Raw genomic sequence first — 22,132 nt, 5'->3', positions numbered from 1 at the left:
AACCTCCCTTCCCCTCCCCTTCTTTATTTTTGAGATGGAGTTTCGCTCTGTCTCCCAGACTGGAGTGCAGTGGTGCAGTCTCGGCTTACTGCAACCTCCACCTCCCAGGTTCAAGCAATTCTCCTACCTCAGCCTCTGGGTAACTGGGACTACAGGTGCACAGCCACTACACCCAGCTAATTTTTCTATTTTTAGTAGAGACAGGGCTTCTCCATGTTGGCCAGGCTGGTCTCAAACTCCTGACCAGGTCACTCCTGACAAGGTGATCGGCCCACCTCGGCCTCCTAAAGTGCTGGGATTACAGGCATGAGCCACTGCGCCCGGCCTCAACCTCTTTTCTTTATAAATTATCCAATCTCAGGCAGTTCTTTGCAGCAGTGTGAGAATGAATTAATACACCATGCTAAGGATTTAATTTATCCTAAGTGCCACTAAAGGTTTTTAGTAGGGGAACAGCCAGATCAGGTTAAAATTGCACATGAACAGTCTGGTTGCTGGGTGGAGAATGGACTGAAGATAGGCAAGAGTTGAATGCAAAAACATATTAGAAGACTAAAAGGATGATACAAAATGGCAAAAATGAAAAAAGAAACAATGAATGGGCTTGGGAAATATTCCAGAAGTGCTTCTACATGTCATGGGCAACAAAATGATGAGTATGAAAGCTGTTGCTCCAAGAATAACAAATAGAAGACAGATCAACTACAATATACCATCAGTAACTAGTAAAGGAATTCAGTGACAATCACGAACCACTGCAGCAAGTAAGGACCTAATATACTTACATATACTTACACTCTCAAAGTCGGCCATGAGCCTAAGGAAATTCCTTGTCCTCTCTAGTTCCTTTTTGTTTTCCCCTAAAGTTTTCCACTGATGCTCATATGTGGAGGAAAAATAATATTAACTCAAGATAGATGGTTGTATATTCTTCACCAGTTACACATAGAGCAGCAAATACAGATGCTGGACAGGAAGAATGACTGATTCTAGTAACCTAAAACACAGAAATAACTGTTGAATGATGAAGGGCTTAAAGAGTTATGACTAGAAGTACAAATACTGAAGTAAGGGAAAAAGCAATTATCAGGCTTCAGATTAAACAGCCATATTATTTCTGGATAAAAATCCAAAGAAGCGTAAAAAGTAAAGTAGTATTATATGTCTTGCCTCCAAGCACAACGACTCAAACTTGAGCCACACAGCCCTTTGTGGAAGCCAGCAGAGAACAAATTTGTTGAAAGATGAGAGATTAAGTAGAAATGGATCATTCACAAGGAAAGAATTCCATTTGTTTATATTTTGGCAAATAATGTAATGATAACTCAAAACAGTTCCACTATTGAGAATTAACTCATCACAGTCTACATTCTTCAGAACACTTCACACTTGCAACGCATTACTTTAACATTAAAGGGATCAGCCACTAGTATTAAATAAGGCTGGGTTCCCACCCTCTCACAAAGACTGCTCATATTCATTTTCTATTTACTGATTCCCTGCCTCTAAAGTATTAGTGTAGGAAAAATAAAACGTTTGCTAGAACATGTTTCAACCATTTCAAATTTCTCAAGTTTTTCTTTTCTAATAATCAATTGCTTAGGACATCACTAAGAAAGAATGAGACTTTGAGAAACATTGGACACATTTCAAACTGCCAAAATCAATAGCAACACACTGTTAAACCAAAATATAAAAATTCTGTAGTTTTTGAAACAAAGGACATATTTTATTAATAAAATTTAATGGATGTAAAGGAAATATGGTGAATCTCAGAATAGTAAAGAACAGAAAACTTTGCAAAGTATATTGGATTATTCGCATTTAAATAAAAAATAAACTTTGGGAAGCTGAGGCAGGAGGATTGCTTGAACCCAGGAGTTTGAGACCAGCCTGGGCAAAATAACAAGAACCTGTCTCAAGGCGTGTTGTTGTTGTTGTTGTTGTTGTTGAATTTATTTATAGACAGAGAAGGGTGGAAAGGGAGGAAGGAGGGAAAAAATAGCAATCACATCTTTGTTTCATGGAGAAGCTAACACTAGTGACTCCATTAGAGCAAGAATTAGAACTGAGAAAGTTCCGACTGGGGGTTCTTGGAGCCATATTGCTGCAATGCATTCTACTGGTTCAGCTGAGAACACTGCCATTTTCTCACTCACCTAATAATTCACTTAAACCACACTACAATCTGAGTACCTACTAAGTTCCAGATACCATTTTAAGCTCTGGATAACTCATCACATACAGCAAGTCAGAACTGATTCCTGGTGAATACACAGGCAAAAGTATAAATTTCATGAACGAAAAAAATAAACCAAGTGAAAAAGGGCAAGCTGCCAGGATAATCTTTATCTAAAACCCTAATTATTATCTGTAGTACCTAAGTTTGGGAATTGGAATCTGAAGAAACAATATTAAACAAGTTCTTAAATTCATAAATTCTTTTTAAAAGAATTCTTAAATTCATAAATCAGCATCTCAACCTCTTTCATTCATTCATTCAGAAAAAAAATACAAATACAAATACATGGTATCACCAATCAGGCACCACCCTCAGCCCAAGCATAAGAAACTGCCTATTATCTGTATTCTACATTTCACTCTGTATCTATTAAGTCTCTTTCAACTGCATGTTCTATAGCTCTATCAAACCATGTAGAAGACAGGCTTTACCCTTGTGTTTTAAGTGACAGATTACTGAGCTTATAAATTCAGAAAATACACAACGAAAAAAGCAGAGAGAAACATTCACAAGTCTAAGGAGACATTATTGTAAACAGAGTAGCTCTTAAGTGAATAAACAAAGAAGCAGATATCAAAACTTATAATGGTAACAATCAGGAATATTCTATTGCTTTTCTAAGAGGAATGTTGAAAAGGAAAAAAAAAAAAAAACCCAGCACGTAACAAGTTCTGCCCTACATTTTATTATGAGAAGGGGAAACTGCTGAAGCCAAAAAAAGTTTTTAAAGTTATAGAAATGTAATCAGTTTCTCATAGAGTTTCTGGGAAAAAAACAAAGTATAAATCTATGAATCATGCATTTTTTCCAGAGATGATAAAAGCATGTTGCCTAATTTTACTCAAGGTCAAGTCTTTATAGTAACTTCTTTCTTCTGTTCACCAAAAAAAAAAGTTTCTAATAGAGCACACGAGCAATGACAGTCAGAAGATTGTATGTTCCAATGAAAGTGAATTCAAGCAATTAATCATTAGAGAACTGTTGCTTCCACCTGGAATGTAAAAAATTATCAGAGAACATCATTCCCACTCTACCAATAAGAACAAGACGGAGAACCTATGAAACCATTGTTTTTCAAAAACTCATTTAAGAGCAAAGATGTAAAAAAGACCTAATGAATGAAAATCCAAAGAGTGACAAGCCACTCCCTGGACAGAAGACAAAGACACACAGACACAGACACAGACACACACACACACACGCATGCACACACACACACACCCCAGCTGCTTTCATCCATGGTGGAGCAGCAAGACAAAGAGGAAACCATCACAGACAAAGAAAACAGTGGAATTTTAACAAAATTTTAAAGGTAGAACACAGGCTGGTGTGATGTTTAGAATTCCTAGGAGACCTAGACACAGAGAGTCTGAACCCGCCCTCCAACTCTTGTCCGTGGGACCTCAAGCGCTCATGAGGAAGTCTGAGAGCAGGACTGAGAGACCACCCTGAGGTGGATCCAATGGGCTACTCTGTGTCCTAATCCACCTACTCTGTGTCCTACTCAGAGATGGCATGGCCTGCCTGGAGGGTTTCTCGAATTGTAATCCCCACATGTCGAGAAAGGGATCTGGTGTAAGGTATAAGGTGATGGATCACAGGAGTGGTTCCCCCGTGCTGCTCTCCTGATAGTGATTGAGTTCTCACAAGATCTGGTGGTTTAAAAGTGTTTGGCAGTTCCTCAACCCATCCCACCCCACCCCATCTCTCTTTCTCTCTAAAGATAACCTAGGCAGAGGCTGAAACAGTTTGGAGGGGTCAGAAGAAGACAGGAAGATGTGGGAAGGTTTGAAACTTCCTACTGAATGGTTTTGAAGATGGACAGAAATGATCCAAACACACACAAATGGAAATCAGGTGGGAAAAGTGAAACAGAGAATCTGAAATCTCCAGGGGCAGTATCAAATGCTCTGACATAAGGTAATTCGAATCCCAAAAAATAAACAGAAAATGGAGTAGAAGACACATTTGAAGAGATAATGACTAAGATTTTCTAAACCGGGCAGTAAGAAATATCAAACCTACACATCCAAGAACCTCAATGGAACCCTGGGCAAGGCAAAAAAAAAAATCATAAAAATTATTTAAAAAGAAATAAGGAAAGCAGCAAGAGAGAAAGACAACAGAGGAGAGAGGAGAGACTGATAAGAAAAATGGATGACTTATCATCAGAAAATAAACGGAAGCCTGAAGACAATGAAATGACTTCTTTAAGATGTATAAGGGGAAATCTATGAAAACAATTCTATATCCATCAAAAATGAAGGCAATATAAAAGACATTTTCAGACAGACAAAATAGGAAAGAAATCTTCTCTAGCAGACCTGCATTACAAGAAATGCAGCCTAAGGCAGCCTAAGGAACTTAAAAGAAATGGAACAAGATAAAAACCCAGTTTTGCAGAAAAGAATAAAGAAAACCATAAAGGACAAATACGTTAGTGTTAAAAAAAATATGGCCCATTCTAGATAACATGGTGAAACCCCATCTCTACTAAAAATACAAAAAATTAGCCAGGCGTGGTGGCAGGCGCCTGTAGTCCCAGCTTCTCGGGAGGCTGAGGCAGGAGAATGGCGTGAACCCAGGAGGCAGAGCTAGCAGTGAGCTGAGAACACGCTGCCTGGGCAACAGAGCGAGACTCTGTCTCAAAAAAATAAATAAATATACACATATAGCCAAAAAAAGTTACACCCACATGTATGCATATACCTGTATGTAAATAAACAGTAAATTTCTTTAAAAGACCACTGATTACTGATTTCATAAAATAAAAGTAGTCATGTATAATTACTTCATAACATATGTAGTTCAAATGCTATGTAATTCCCACATTCATAGTGTATGTAGAATTAGAATATATAGTAACAAGAGCACAGAGAGCGAAAGGATGATTGGAAGTCATCCACTGTTCTAAGGGTCTTTATTTTTGAGAAGGCAGATATTATGATTATTTTAAAATGCATGTTATACTCTGAGACACTATCTAAAAAATACATTAAAAGGCATAACTAAAAATCATTAGAAAAGGCAACAGCAAAAAAAACTAAGAAAAGCAAACATGGAAACTAGAAATCAAAATCAAGATGGCAGATTTAAGCCCATACGTATCAAACATTATATATGGATCAGCTGGGCATAGTGGCTCATGCCTGTAATCACAGCACTTTAGGAAGCCAAGGAAGGAAGATGGCTTGAAGTCAGGAGTTCAAGACCAGCCTGGGCAACATAGCAAAACCCCATCTCTACAAAAAAATAGTAATAATAATAAAATAATAATTATTATATATAAACTAAAACTCTGCTTAAAAAGCAATGGCTAGCATATTTTTTTAAAAACAGAACTCAAGTATATGCTGTTTATAAAAAAAAGTTTAAACATAAAGAATCAGATAAAAGGAAAAGGGTGAAAAAAGACATGCTGTACGAACAGTATAAGAAAGCAAGTGTAGCTATATTACTGTTAGAGGTAGAGTTTAAGATAATTATTAGCACAGAGATATTTCATAAAAGGGTCATTATGCACATATGCAAAAAAATCCTTTCGATATTCAATACATATTGATAGACTATAAACTGTTTTCTCTGACCAAAAGAATACTTAAGTAGAAAAAAAGCAATAATATTACATGTGGAATATCTCCAGCCATTTGGAATTTTTAAAAAATACTTCTAAATATCACGTTTTCGATCTATAGCCTAATCACATAAGGAAATAAATAATTTTTAACTGAATTATAATAAAAACAGCTGAAACAGTCCTTAGGAGAAAACTTATAGATTCAAATGCCCATCTCAAAAACAAGGTGTAAAATTAATGATCTGTGCTTCTAACTTAGGGAATGAAAAGAAAAATTAAATCCAAAGTTGAAAAAAAATAAATTCAGAAACAAATGAAATAAAAAGTGGTTAATATGGATTCTCTGAAAATATTAACAAAATTGATAAACCTCTAGGCAAGACTTATCAAGAAAATATGAAACAAAAATCCCTACCAAGCATAAGTTACCATTATAAATCCTATAGATATGAAAGGAACAAGTAGATATGACATTTATGCCAATAAAGTCAACAATTTAGAGAAAATAAATTCCTTGAAAACCACAATTTATCAAAACCCAAGAAAAATAGAAAATCTGAATATCATTATATCCTCTAAATAAAATGAATTTAAAATTTTTAAACTTCTCACCAAGAAAACTCTAGGCAAAGATGACTTCATAGGTGAATTACCTCAAACACTTAATACCAATATGACACACACATTTATGAAAAAACAGTGAAGAAGGGAAAACTTCCCAATTCTTCTGTAGCCATCTTAACCTTGGTACCAAAACCAGAGAAGGACATAAAAAATGAAGATCATAACGCACACATCTCTCATGAACATAAATTTAAAAATCCTTAACCGAATACTAGCAAAATGGATGAAGCAGGTACAAAAAGCTAGTACATCATGACCAAGTAGAGTTTAATCTCAGAAATGTGAGGTTAACTTACAAAATTCAGTGTAATTCACATCCAAAGATTAAAGAAACATATTTAATGATCATTTCAAGAGACACTGAGAAACATTTTGTCAAAATTCCAACCAATTCATGCTTAAAACTGGGAATAAAAACTTCCTCAAAATGAAAAGGGCATCTACAAGCAATTTTCAGCTAATATTACACTTTAAATAATGAACACTTTTCCTACTAAGATCAGGAACAAGGCAAGATGGCCAATAACACCACTTCTGCCAAACGTTTTACAGGCAATCTCAGGCAGTGTAGGCAGGCAAGTAAAAGAAATAAAAAGCATACAGATTGGAAAGGAAGAAATAAAGCTGTCTTTTTTTTTTTTTTGAGACAGGGTCTCTCTCTGTTGCCCAGGCTGTAGTACAGTGACACGATTATGGCTCACTGCAGCTTTGAACCTCCTGGGCTCAAACTGTCTTCCCACCTCAGCCTCCTGAGTAGCTGGGACTACAGGCACATACCACCATACCTGGCTAATTTTTTTTTTTTTTTTTTTTTTTGAGACAGGGTCTCATTATCTCATTACATTGCCTAGGCTGGTCTCTAACCCTGAGCTCAAGTGATCTTCCTGCCTCAGCTTTCTAAAGTGCTGGGATTACAGGTGTCAACCACCATGCCTGGCCCTAAGGCTGTTTTTGTCACATATAAAATCACTGTGTACATTTAAAAATCCTAAAGAAACTGCCAGAACTAACAGAATAAGTGCACTTAGCAATATTGTAAGATACAAAAACCAAGTATGTTTCTACATGCTAATAGTGACCAGTTGGAAATTAAAGGTAAAACAAATATTTTAAATTATCATGCAGAAACATAAAATATTTAGGAAAATTTAACACCAAAAAAAAAATGCCCATGACTTCTATGCTGAAAACTGTAAAACATTACTGGGATAAATGGAAAGTCTAAATAAATGGAAAATCAAGTTCATGAACTGTAAGGTTCTATATTCACAATATTGACCTATGGGTTTTGGGGGTTTTCTTATAAAAATAAATTAATTCTAAAATTTATATGGAAACACCAAGGACCTACAATAGCCAAAATTGTTTTAAAAAGAACAGAGGACTTGTACCACCTGACTAATGACACAGTAATCAAGGTAAGTGTGTTACTGGCAAAAGAACAGACAAAGAGATGCAACAGAGTAGAGAATCTAGAAATAGACCTACAGATGCACAGTCAAGTGATTTTTTAGAAGGTGCCAAAACAATTAAATGAGAGGCAAGTCTATCAATAAATGGTGATGGAAATACTGGCTATTCACCTGGGGAAAAAATAAACAAACCTCAACCCTCATGTCTCACACCATATATACCCCAAAAATCTTCATGAGTCATGGACTAATTATAAAGCTTTAAAAGAAAACATCAGAAAATTTCTTCAAAACCATAGAGTAAAAAAAATATTTCTTGGTGCAAGAAGCCCTTAATAAAATGTTTTTAAACTGATAAATTCAACCTCAAGTTAAAATGTTCTTCTCATCAAAAGACACTGAAGAAAAAGATAGGCAAGCCACAGATCAGAGAAAATATTCACTATTATTATATCCGGTAAATGATTTGTTTCTAAATAATTCCTACAATTGAGTAACAAAAAGATCAACAACACAATTTTTAAATGGGCAGGAGATTTTAATAGACACTTCATGACAGAAGAAACATAAATGGCCAATAAGCACAGGAAGAAGTGCTCAACATCTCTAGTCAAAATTGGCTAAAATGAAAAAGAGTAACATAACCAAAGGTTAGTAAGGAAGTGGAGCAAATAGAACTCTCATACACTGCTGATGGGAGGGTAAAATTACTTTGTAACCTTAATTGCCTGAGAAGTCAAACATACATATACCATACCCCAGCAATTCCCACACCCAAAGTATTTATGCAAGATTAATAAAAACATATCTCCACAAAAACTCTTGTAGAAAACTTTTTATTCTGGCTTTATTTTCAGAAAAGCTAAAAATTTTTCTATGGCCCATGCTCCAGTATCCTTCAGCATACAATTTAAAAATAAATCCATATTAATGTCAATTCAGATTTCCATTTAAATATCACAGCCCATATAAAATGTGTCTTTCAATACATCACCATCAACAGTATCATCTTTAGGGAAAATTCTTACATTCTATGAAAAACACAGAGACCTATATACTAGAAATGCTGTTTCTAATTCTACCCACTCCATGTTCTATCAGTTCCACTAAAATTCTGTTAAAATAACTTACTTTGCTCTTCTTTCTACACTGGTATCTTGGTAGTTCCCGAGTAACTGATCATCATTGAACAAATCACATGGAAGAGTCAAGACACAAAGCCCTTTCCATCTGGCTTTACTTCATTGCTTATACTATAACCAAATTAAACTATGGTTACTTTTTATTGAAATATATATATATAGTTCTATATATAGATTATATAAATATATAAATATATATGAAATACATATGAAATATGTGAAATACATGTGATATATATTTACTGAAATATATATATTCTTATTATACCTTTTTATTGAAATATGTATTTCTATATATATAGAATAGTATTATATATAGAGAGAATAATAATATATATATTGAAATATATATATTTCAATAAAAAGGTATAATTCCACTTACATAAAAAAAAATTTACATTTAAAAAGTTTACTTCCTGCCGGGAGCAGTGGCTCACGTCTGTAATCCCAGCACTTTGGGAGGCTGAGGCAGGTGGATCACCTGAGGTCAGGAGTTTAAGACCAGCCTGACCAACAAGGTGAAACCCGTCTCTACTAAAAATACAAAAATTAGCTGGGCATGGTGGCTCACACCTGTAATCCCAGCTACTCAGGAGGCTGAGGCAGGAGAATCGCTAGAACCCAGGAGGCAGAGGTTGCAGTGAGCCAAGATCACGCCACTGCGCTCCAGCCTGGGGGACAGGGCAAGACTCCGTCTCAAAAAAAAAAAAATTTACTTCCATTCAATTCCACAAGTATTTGTAGGGGTCTCTATCTTATCACATGCATTAAATCAGGACTTCTCAACAGTGGCACTCCTGACATTTTGGAGCAGATGATGTTTTGTTGCAGAAGCCTGCCCTGTGCCCTGGAGGGTGTTCAGCAGCACAGCTGCCCTCTACCCTCTAGATGTCTGTAGCAACTCCCTGCCCTCTTCTAACCCCCAGCCCCCAAACACACAGTTAAAATACATTATATCAGTGTCTCCAGATATTGCCCAGTGTCCCCTAGGAGCAACATCGCCCACAGTTGAGAACCTCTGATTTAAAGGATTATCTCAACATGTGTTCTCCATACTTCCTGTGATTCCTTTTTGCCTTGGGCCCCCCTTCCTCTGAGTCTCCAAACTGGTTACCTCATCTTCAAGAGTCAATTTTAAAAATCACTTTCTTTAGTAAGCTCTTCCAGCCAACCCCACACTCCCAGCCAACCCCACACTCCCCCATGCTGCTCAACTCCCACAGCACCTTAGACCTCTGAACTGTTACTTGCTTCTAAATCCTCCTGGTCTGTGAGTTCCCTCAATTTCAAGTCTTTTAATTTCTAGTTTATTGCTGTATCCTCAGTGCCAAAAACAGTCAACAATTGTCTAGGTGCCTGGATGTGAGGCTCTATAAAATGCTTACAAATATTAGTACAGTTAATGTGTTATACAAACATTCTCATATTCAGTCAAATTGCATGGGCTTCTGAAGGCAACATGCTCTTAACTCACTCTTTTAAATTGAGAAACGGTACAGCATCATGCAAACAGATACTAAATAAAGTTGCTGGTATAAAATCACTGTAAAACGCCAGTGCTTCAGATACATAGGTGATTTCCTCCTCTCTTCCTCAACATAAAAATATAAATAAGTGAATTCTACAAGTCAGAAGCATCTTGCCATCCTTTCAAGAGTGATATGGGAACCAGGCAAAATGAAACCAAATATAATATTCGAAATGTCAGATTAATGAGAGCAAAACGGGAAGCATTTTCTTTAAGCAGTGCCTGAATGTGATGTGTGGGAGAACTTTCACAGAACGGGTAATTATTTATCAAGCAAATGTGTGGGGGGGTCACAGCACAAAGTGGCATGTGGCAAGCATGCCAGCGAAGCTAACAGCATGTTATATAACACAATTGTTGGGGCGGGGGAAGGGTGATATTCCACCCTTCAGGGAAGAAAGCTACACCTCCTGACAGACTACAACTTGCCATGGAGAAAACATCCATACAAAATACAATGTCTCCAACCTAAAAAAATGAGAGACCTAATCATTTCATAGCCCATGGTCTCTGAAATGTGGCTGACGTCATGTAGTGATAGTTTATAGTGATTTAAGACCCTTCTTTTAGCTATGGTAGGTATTCATTTGCAGCTGTGTTCCATTGTTTAAAATAGCTCTATTGAGATGTAAGTCACACCATAAAACTTACCCACTGACAATGTACAGTTCAACAGCTTGTAACATATCCACAGAATTGCATAACCATCACCAAAATCAATTTTAGAACATTTTTATCACCCTAGGGAGTAAAAAGAAAACCTGTACCCATTAGCCATCACTCCCCATTTCTTTCCAAACCTCTAGACCTAGAAAATCATTCATTTACTCTCTATCTATATAGATGTGTCTGTCCTGCACATTTCATATAAATGGAATCATATATACATGGCCTTTTATGACTGGCTTCTTTCACTTAGCATTATGTTCTCAAGTGTCATTCATACAGTAGCATGTATTCATTTTTCATCATATGGCTATACCACCTTTTATTTATCCATTCATCTCTTAACAGACATTTAGGTTGTTTCTATTTTTTGGCTATTATAAATAATGCTTCTATGAACACTCATTCACAAGTTTCTGTGTAAACATATGCTTTCATTTCTCTTGAATGTATAGCTAGGAGCAGAATTTCTGGGTCAGAGGGCAATGTTATGTTTCGTTTTCTGAAGAACTGACAAACTGTTTTCCAAAGCAGCATTCCATTTAAATTCTCACTCTCAGTGTATGAGGATTTTCAATTTCTCTACATTCTTGCCAGTACTTGTTATTATCTGACTTTTTATTTATAGCCATCCTAGTAGATATAAAGTGGTATCTCATTGTGGTTTTGATCTGCATTTCCCTAACAGCTAACAATATTAAGCATTTTTTCATGTGTTTATTGGCCACTTGTGGTTTTTTTTGTTGTTTTTTTTGTGATGGAGTCTCGCTCTGTTGCTCAGGCTGGAGTCCAATGGCGTGATCTCAGCTCACTGCAACCTCCGTCTCCCGGGTTCAAGTGATTCTCCTGCCTCAGCCTCCCGAGTAGCTGGGATTATAGGCACCCACCACCACACCCAGTTAATTTTTGCATTTTTAGTAGAGATGGGGTTTCACCAGGTTGGCCAGGCTAGTTTCGAACTCCTGACCTCAGGTGATCCGCCCACCTCGGCCTCCCAAAGTGCTGGGATTATAGGCATGGGCCACTGCACCCAGCCAACCACTTGCATATTTTCTTTGGAGAAATGTCTAAATTCAGGTCTTTTGACCATTTCATTGTTATTTGTCTATATATTATTGAGTTACAATGGTTCTTTATATATTCTAGAAACAAGTCCCTTATCAGACATTATTTTCAAATCTGTGGTCTTAAATGGTGTCTCTTAGCTAAGAAAAATTCAAAGTAACCCTTTGGTAAATTGAGGGAGAAAAAAATGAAGCACACATCCATCTAACCATTGATAATCAAAGTAGTAATGGCTAGCTGAGCTCCGCCCCACCCTCCATTAGCCATTCTCCCATTGGTTCTCAGTAATAGTAAAGTACTAAAACAACTCATGGACCTCTGAAAACAAAAGACAGCAATTTCCCAACCTTAGGATTTAGAAGCCTCCCTTGCAACTAGGTATAACCACATAACTCCATTCCAGCCAATGGTCTGTGAGCAAAAGTAGTCTATGCAACCACTGGAAAATGTCCCTACAACCACAGACAGTGCTATGTGATAAATGGAACAGTGCTATATGCTGTCTCGTGCCTCAGGTGACTGATAAAAGTAAACTATGCTCGAGAGAGCAGGATTATATCAGCTGTGATCTGGCAACCTCTGGGCTTCCCAAACAAGAGAAAAAAATAAACTTTAACCCCGTTTAAGCCATTTTGTTTTGACTTTTTCTGTTACATGCAACCAAATCTGATCTAAAATAACGCCACAAATAAGTAAAAGCTCTTGATTTATATCTACACAGATCAAATGCAAGCCCAGCCTCCACTGTGCAGTTTATTAAATATCATCTACTTCAAAATGCTACCCAGCTGCCCTCCCAACACAGGAAATAAAAAAAAAATAGCAAAAACAGATACTTGTAAAGAAGACAAAGTATGTTTACATTAGACATATACAATCAACTGAGAAATTGCTATAAGAAGGTATCCAATATGAGGGCCAGGTGTGGTGGTTCATGCCTGTAATCCCAGCACTTTGGGAGGCAGAGGCAGGCAGATCACCTGAGGTCAGGAGTTCAAGACCAGCCTGGCCAATATGGTGAAACCCCATCTCTAACAAAAATACAAAAATTAGCCGGGCGTGGCGGTGTATGCCTGTAATCCCAGCTACCTGGGAGGCTGAGGCAGAAGAATCACTCAAACCTGGGAGGCAGAGGTTGCAGTGAACCGAGATCGTGCCATTGCACTGCACACTGGGTGACAGGAGCAAAACTCCATCTCAAAAAAAAAGAAGGTACCCAATACGAACCTTGTACAAACTGCATCAGAAATCCATTTATAATACCCACAAACTCCACAACAAGTTAGGTTTATTTTTCTTGAAGCAGAATGAAGACACTAGAGCTCACAGTATAGCGGTGTGGTGCAGAAGAAAAGGATAGTTGACTGACAGTTGCTTGATTGAATCTAATCACAGTTCAGTCACTTTTGAGCAACAATTCAATTTCGTTTAATCCAGTACAAATCTGTTAAATGTCCACCATGTATAAAGCATTACATGTGGTATTGTGATACCAAGTAACACTAAGTAAGACAGTGTTCCTACCCTCATGGAATTCATAATCTAATAGACAAGGAACAAATTTCTTATAATTCCCTGATTCCTGATTCTACCTAGGAATCAGGAGAGTAGACAAGAGAAGAGCCTATCTCATTCACACTTTTCACTAAATAATGCTTTCGAAGCCCCAAAATCACAGATCTCAAAGTACATTCACCTTCTGCCAGCAGATTTTGCTCCACATGAGACTAACTGTAAGACACAGACGGTGGAAAATGGCAGGAAATTAAGGAACCCCAAACAGTATCTACTGGTAACAGCAAACCAGAATAGATGTTTCTCTGTTTAGAAATGAGGAAATAAACCATTAAAGGGCGGGGGGTCTGTAATTGTTTTTAAAAAGCAGCTTCATCTTTTAGACTAAAGGATATGAACACAACAAAAAAATTATTTTCCAAGTTAACCAAGGAGCTTTAGAAAATTTTGGACTTAAAATAAGCATGTATGACTTTTAAGAAAAAATAAAGATTTACATATTAGTATTTATATGGTAGGAATGAATTCATTTACCTATATAACATGTTAGAGGAATGTAACTACCCCCACTCCCACTCCCAAGACTTATTGGAAAACTTTCAAAAAACAATCACCATTCACCACATCGACACTGTTTGAAATGCCTTTTAGACACCCCAGAAGCAATACTGAGTAGGCAGCTGGATATAAGAAGCTGGAGGTCAGGGACAAGATCCAGGTAGAGATAATAAATTTGCAAGTTATCAACATACGGATGGCACATAAAGTCGTAAGACTGGACAAGGTCATAAAAAAGTGTGAGTGAAGAGCGAAAACATCTAAGGGCTGAACTCCAACATCCAGGGGTCTGGGAAATGAAGAACTGGCAAAGAAGTACAAAAAGTGAAGAAGCCAGTGATGCGAGAGGGAGTGTGATGTCCTTGAAGCAAGTGTATGATGGAGGAGAGAGTGATGGGCAATGTCAGGGATGCTGCGAGGGAAAGACCATGAGCACTGGGAATCGACCACCAGGCACAGCAACAGGGAGACCACTGATGGCTTCAACAAAAACTGCAGTGGAGAGAAAGGGCAAAGGCCTCAGTAGACAGCTCAAAAGAGAAGAGGGAAGAAATAGGAAAAAAAAAATTTTTTTTTTTTTTGAGATGGAGTCTCGCTCTGTCGCCCAGGCTGGAGTGCGGTGGTGCCATCTCAGCTCACTGCAACCTCCGCCTCCCAGGTTCAAAAAATTCTCCTGTCTCAGCCTCCTGAGTAGCTGGGACTACAAGCGCCCGCCACCACACCCGGCTAATTTTTGTATTTTTAGTAGAGATGGGGTTTAACCATATCGGTCAGGCTGCTCTTGCACTCCTGACCTCAGGTGATCCACCCACCTCGGCTTCCCAAAGTGCTGGGATTACAGGCATGAGCCACCGCACCTGGCCAGGAAAGAAATGTGAGACCATAAATATGATAGCTTTTTGAAGAATTGTTATGTTTATAGGAGTTAAAAAATGGGCAGTAAATGAAAGGGAAGGGTGGTTTCATTGGTGATGGTGGCTGTAGTGGCTTTTGTTTTTTTAAGATGAATGAAATAAGAGCATTTCACTTGCTGCCGGGAGCCAAAACTAATGTTAACAAGAAAGAAAAAGTAGAGTTGCTTGAGTAATATCCTGGAGCAGTGGAGAGAAGATGGGAAGAGGAAATGGAAACACCTGAACAGAGGAGTTGGCCTCCATCAGGAACACAGGCAGCTCCCACAGGCAGGGAGGAAAGGCAGGGTGTCTGGGCACTGAGGGTGGAGGTGGGTGTCTAGAGCGGGAAACAGCTCTTGTTACAGCTTCTATTTTCACAACAAAATAGGACACAAAGTCATCAGGAAAGGAAGGCAGTGTCAGAGCTTAAGAGAGAGAGGAAAATATAAAATATTCAACTGGGAGTATACAGCAACTAAGGAAACATAGCATGGGCCGGGCAGGGTGACTCGCGCCTGTAATCCCAGCACTTTGGGAGGCCGAGGCAGGTGGATCTCTTGAGTTCAGGAGTTCAAGGTGAAACTGAAACTCCGTCTACTAAAAATACAAAAATTAGTCAGGTATAGTGGCACACACTTGTAGTCCCAGCTACTCAGGAGGCTAAGGCATAAGAATTGCTTGAACCCAGGAGGCGGAGGTTGCGGTGAGCAGAGATGGTGCCACTGCCCTCCAGCCTGGGTGACAGAGCGAGACTCTATCTCAAAGAAAAGAAAAAGAAAAAGAAAACACAGTATGATCAGTGGCTACCATGAATGGCCGCCTATTGTTGGACAGTGGTCATGTATTTGAAGTGATCCCATGAATACAGTAGAAATTGCTTCTCTAGAAAGAGAGAAGGCAGAACTGAATCTTAAGTTGGGATTGTGCAAACAAGCAAAATAAAGAAGGAAAGAAGCAGTGGAGTGAAGGGTATTAAAAAGGGACTGTGATGAGTGACTATGAAATTTCAACTAGTTAAGGAAGAAAGTGAGTGCACGACGAACAACAGACTGTAGGGCTTAACTGGGGAATCTAAGGGTACTTATTAGGAAAGAAGGTGGTAGAAAGAGAAAGTCTTGCAATCAGGATTGCGGAGGACTGCAGTTCCTTGCAATGACAAAGTCTAAGGAATGAACACCGGAGAGAATGGCTGAGGTACGGTAAAGAACAAGGTCACTGAAGGAGAGGAACTTAACAAGTCAAGAAGCCAAGTGCTGAAAGCATCATCTGAAGCCATACTGAAATTACCAAGACTTGTAAAAAGAGCAGAATTGGCAATGCACCGGTTGAGTATCCTTTATCCAAAATGCTTGCAATGAGAAGGGTTCTGGATTTCAATTTTTTTTGGATTTTAGAATATTTGCACATACGAAATGAGGTATCTTGGGAATGGAAACCAAATCTCAACAAGAAATTCATGTACGTTTCATATACCCCTTATACCTGTAGCCTGTAGGTAACTTTGTACATTTTTAATAATTTTGTGCATGAAATGAAGTTCTGACTACAACCCATCACATGAGGTCAGGTATGGAATTCTCCACTTGTGGCATTATGCCAGTGCTAAAAAATTTTTGCATTTGGAAGCATTATAGATCTCGGATTTTAGGATTAGGGAGCTAAACATTCTAGAAGCAGTTCAAAACACAGAAAAGGGTAAGGAAACTACATATTACAAGAGATATACTTTCAAGTGTGAAACCATGAGAATGGATGGATACAGAAAAACAACTATAGGAAATGGCAACATTTAAAGGAGCAACAGCTGAACTGGAGAGGACCAAGAGATCTGAGGGAGAACCAGAATGGTTAACTGTCATGGAAGTAAAAGGATAGAGAGTTTCAGGAGGTCAAACGTGAATAACAAATCAAATGCTGCCATAGCCGCCAAGCTCTGTACCCAATTTCTTCCCAGGTTTCTCTTCATAATGACCCACAGCAATCTAACTCAACATGACTGATATGGTTTGGCTGTGTCCCCACCCAAGTCTCAACTTGAATTGTAGCTCCCATAATCCCCATATGTTGTGGGAGGGACCTGGTGGGAGGTAACTGAATCATGGGAATGGGTTTTTCCCATGCTATTCTCATGACAGTGAATAAGTCTCACAAGATCTGATAGTTTTTATAAAGGGCAGTTCCCTGCACACGTTCTCTTGCCTGCTGCCATGTAAGATGTGCCTTTGCTCCTCTTTCACCTTCTGCCATGATTATGAGGCCTCCCCAACCATATGGAACTGTGAGTCCATTAAACCTCTTTTTCTTTATAAATTACCCAGTCTTGGGTATTTCTTCATAGCAGTATGAAAATGAACTAATACAATGACCCAAACTAATTTTACTGTCTTCCCCCATCCTTATGCCCCCACTTTGTTTCCCACCTTAGTGAATGGTACCATCTAGCTACTCAAGCCAGAAACCTTCCCCACTCCTTCACCCTCTACTGCAACATCCAGTTTATCCCCAGAAATCTACCCCACTTGGCTCCACCCCCACTGCCACCACACCAATCCTGGCCCTCTCACCCTGTCCTTAAACTACTTCCTCTTGTCCCCTCTTGCTACCTCCAAATCTTTCTTACTCTGCCAGAATGAGCTTTGAGAAATACAAATATAATTGTCACTCACTGCCCTGCTTAAAACTATTTAATGGATTAAGTTCAAAAACTTCAAGTTCAGGCCGTTGCCCCATCTCAAGCCTCTTCTCCCACTCTCTCTGGCTCTTGCACTAGTGACGCTAGGTGTCTCAAATACATCATGCTCTCTCCTGTCTCCAGGCCTCCACATGTGACACTCACTCTACCTGGCACATGACTCTCAATCCCAGCTGACTCCAGATAACCCTTTAGTTTATGAATTTAGATGTCAGATCCTCTGTGTGCCTTTATTTAGCCACCTAAACTAGATTAGGTCCCCCTGCCAGGAGTTCCCAGAAAGGAGCTGTGAGCCTCAATGGAAGTAAATTAGAGACTTTTGCAAGAAAAAAGACGGAAGCTAAAAGGTGGGGAGGAATCCAGGCCCCTATGCCTCTTTAATAAGGGAACCCACTTTTTTTGCTTTATATACACATTAACATGAAATTTTATTTGAAAAGAGAGTCTCCCTATAAAGTACTTGAAAACCACTAGAATAGATCCCTGACCTAAAGTCCTCCCCTGTTCCAAGAGTCTCCCTACAGGTATTATCCTTCGTATGTGTAAGCACCTCCATAGGAATCCCTCATCAATGTCTTTGAGGGGTGGAGAGTGGTTCCAATCATAGCTAGGATCATGGCTGACAAAAAAAGAAAAGAAAATTGGGCATGATCAAGGTCTCAGAGAAAACCAGAGACTCTGGATGATTAAAATGATTAAATTGCATTATAGAAGTACCCTGCTTTCACAACTAATCAGATTCACCTCACTTAACATATTCTCTAGTAGACTGCTAGCTCATCTTTGTCAATTATTTAGAAAACATTCTGATTATATGGTAATCTGCAGAGACTTATGGCACAGTGGTTAAGAGGTAGGGCTCAAGCTAGGCACAGTGGCTCTTGCCTGTAATCCCAGCACTTTGGGAGGCCAAGGCAGGTGGATCCCTTGAGGTCAGGAGTTCAAGACCAGCCTGGCCAACATAGCAAAACCCTGTCTGTACTGAAAATACAAAAATTAGCCGGGTCTGGTAGTGTGCCCCCATAATCCCAGCTACTCAGGAGGCTGAGGCAGAAGAATCACTTGAGCCCGGGAGGCAGAGGTTGCAGTGAGCCGAGATTACACCACTGCACTCCAGCCTGGGCAAAAAAAGTGAGACTCGTCTCAAAAAAAAAGAAAGAAAAAAGAAAAAGGTAAGATGTGGGGCTCTAGGAGGAGAATGCAGGGGCTCAAATCTCAGCTCTTCAACTACCCACTAGCTACGTGACCTTGGGGAAATTGCTCAAATGCTCTGTGCCTCAGTTTCTCATCATAAAATGGAAACAGTAACAACTACCTGAGAGAGCTATGGCAAGGAATTAGCTGAGATAAAACACAGAAGCATTTAGAACAGTGGCACTCAGAAAGGAATCCAATGCCACCCATGGGTGTGTGCGCACAGATGTATGCTCGACTTGTGTTACACTGACTAATTCCCTTCTTAAAGTTTGGAAGAGTTCTTACTGGCTTGAAATTTAGGCCAGGCATGGTGGCTCACACCTGTAGTCCTATGACTTTGGGAGGCCAAGGTGGGAGGATTGCTTGAGTCCAGGAGTTTTGAGACCAGCTTGGGCAACATAGCAAGACCCAACCTCTTTTTCACTGACATTCTCTTTCATATTTTTCCTATCTTGGCAAAACGCTTATTTAACCACTTGTCCTTTTCACAGTAGTGCCAAACTTATCATGGTGCTTAAGGGCCTGTTTTTATGTACAATAAATGGTCTTCAATTCATTTATTACAAAGTGAACCACTAATCCTTCCTCTCTGCACTACTCCCAGAGACTCAACTATATCATCTAAGAGAGGAAGCAGCATTAATTACTTTTGTATTCCTGGGTTCTGACCTGAACTTTTGCTTTAACAAATCTCATAAGCTTTTATTATACAAACATAGAACAGCCTTACCTAAAAACTATCACTGCCAAAACCAGGGCTGGCAAGGAATCACTGTACTGTCAGCCATTAAAAAGCAAATATTCTATGAACACTAGGATTTTCCTTAATGCTACTGGAGGACATAGAAATTAATGCCAGACAAGTAGTAATACTGATGAACAAAATTTTCTCTTCTACTTCTTCCTCTCTGGCAAAGATTCTTTTACAACTAAATAACTGGAAGTCATGCAATAAGGAAAAAAAAGAATTCACCTTTGAATAAACAGAAGGAGTTTGCCTAAGACCCTCCATCACGTACAGGATGTAGACACTGAAAACCCCCCCACACACAAATGAATGTTGTTCTGTATTAGTAGCTAGCTACCTATCACCCCTTTTTAGCTTTGTCACCCAGTTCCTCTCGCCATTGTTCTCTTCATGCTACAAATTAGGCTTGGATCAACAATGAAAAGCTCCAAGGCAATTTTTTTTTTTTTTGAAACGGAGTCTCACTCTGTCGCCCAGGCTGGAGTGCAGTGGCACCATCTTGGCTCACTGCAGCCTCCGCCTCCTGGGTTCAAATGGTTCTCCTGCCTCAGCCTCCCATGTAGCTGGGACTACAGGTGTATGCCACCACGCCTGGCTAATTTTTTTGTCTTTTTAGTAGAGACAGAGTTTCACCATTTTGGCCTGGATGGTCTTGAACTCCTGACCTCATAATCTGCCCACCTCGGCCTCCCAAAGTGCTGGGATTACAGGTGTGAGCCACTGCACCTGGCCTCCAAGGTTATTTTTTAAGTGACAACCCTGGTTAGAATGACTCCTAACTAAATCAAGATGAAACTATCACCCCATAGCTAAACCCGGTGATCAAGACTAAACAGCTTATAATGAACACACAGCCTGGAAATATAGCAAGATAACATTCTCCCAGGCCACAGAAATCACAGTTGCAACTAACCTCTATTTTTTTAAATCATTTTTTTAAAACGACTCTTTCACCATGTCCAATAATTCCAATAACTTACCGATCAGCAGCTTCTATGTCAAAACAAAACCTTCTGTCAATGGAGTCAGTATGCCTCTTGGTACATTCTTTCAAAAAGAACACCTCTCCGTCCCCCTGCAAATAATCATTTTGAACATTCTCAAAACCTACAGGATAAGTATATACACACTCAGCCATTCTATACTGGAGAGCAGGGGAGCAAGGTTCAAGATCTTAAGTCCTTCTCTTTACCCTATCCTCTTTCAAACTGGCTTATTTAAATGCTATTTAGAATCTAAAATATTAATATTTTTGTCATTCTCCTGATTCTTTTGAGAAGGGAGCCTCGCTCTTTCACCCAGGCTGGAGTGCAGTGGCAGGATCTTGGCTCACTGCAACCTCCATCTCCCAGGTTCAAGTGATTCTCCTGCCTCAGCCTCCAGAGTAGCTGGGATTACAGGCATGCACCACCACACCTGGATGATTTTTGTATTTTCAGTAGAAACAGGGTTTCACCATGTTGGCCAGGCTGGTGTCAATCTCCTGACCTCAGATGATCCACCCGCCTCAGCCTCCCAAAGTGCTGGGATTACAGGCGTGAGCCACCGCGCCCAGCCATTCTCTTGATTCTTAAGATTTTCTAGACCTTACTGATGATGGTAATGTTATGCCAGACAATACCAATGTTACTTTTTTTTTTTTTTGACAGTCTTGCTCTGTTGCCCAGGCTGGAGTGCAGTGGTGCAATCTCAGCTCACTGCAAACTCCGAATCCTGGGTTCAAGCAACTCTGTGACTCAGCCACCCAAATAGCTGGGATTACAGGTGTGCATCACCATGACTGGCTAATTTTTGTATTTTTAGTAGAGACAGGATTTCACCATGTTGGCCAGGCCAGTCTCAAACTCCTGACCTCAAGTGATCTGCCCACCTCGGCCTCCCAAAGTGCTGGGATTACAGGCGTGAGCCAGTGTCCCTGGCCAAATGTTAATTTTCAAAGGTAGATTAACAGTACAGTTTTAAGATACTGGAATACTGTTAGTCTCTTATTGTACTCTTTTTTTTAGTGTAAAAATTTATTTCTTACCACATGTCACAAAAAATATGTGACTATTTTTGGCCTATAAAAATTGCAATTCCATACACGTCAGCCTAAAAGTACACCGATAACCCTAGATTAAATATTTTCATAATCTAAAGCTAGAACCATTTAATCTATGCAATTTCTCTCTTCCCTATGTGAATCACCCTGAATTTATCTTTACTTAATTTGCAATGCAGAAATACAAGTGCTCAGTAAAAGAACAACTATATAAAGTGTGAGTACACACTTA

The 22,132-nt window shown here is 39.0% G+C and overlaps 1 protein-coding gene across 6 annotated transcripts in view; it reads right to left on the bottom strand.

Annotated features, from left to right (window-relative positions):
- The window catches only part of ARHGAP10 (Rho GTPase activating protein 10), a 340,689-nt gene that overhangs the window by 170,005 nt on the left and 148,552 nt on the right, over positions 1 to 22,132 (bottom strand). For all 6 annotated transcript variants that reach the window (XR_001741324.2, NM_024605.4, XM_005263215.4 and 3 more), the window contains one exon: positions 20,840 to 20,934. Coding sequence is in view for 5 of the 6 variants with exons in the window: in NM_024605.4 (NP_078881.3) it covers positions 20,840 to 20,934 (95 nt within the window). In the remaining variant the exon portion in view is untranslated. The remainder of the gene's footprint in view (positions 1 to 20,839; positions 20,935 to 22,132) is intronic.

This window comes from Homo sapiens, chromosome 4 (assembly GCF_000001405.40).
Source record: "Homo sapiens chromosome 4, GRCh38.p14 Primary Assembly".
NCBI classification, from domain to species: Eukaryota; Metazoa; Chordata; class Mammalia; order Primates; family Hominidae; genus Homo; species Homo sapiens.
Note: the sequence above shows the minus strand (reverse complement) of the source record. Positions and strands in the feature narration are given on the sequence as shown.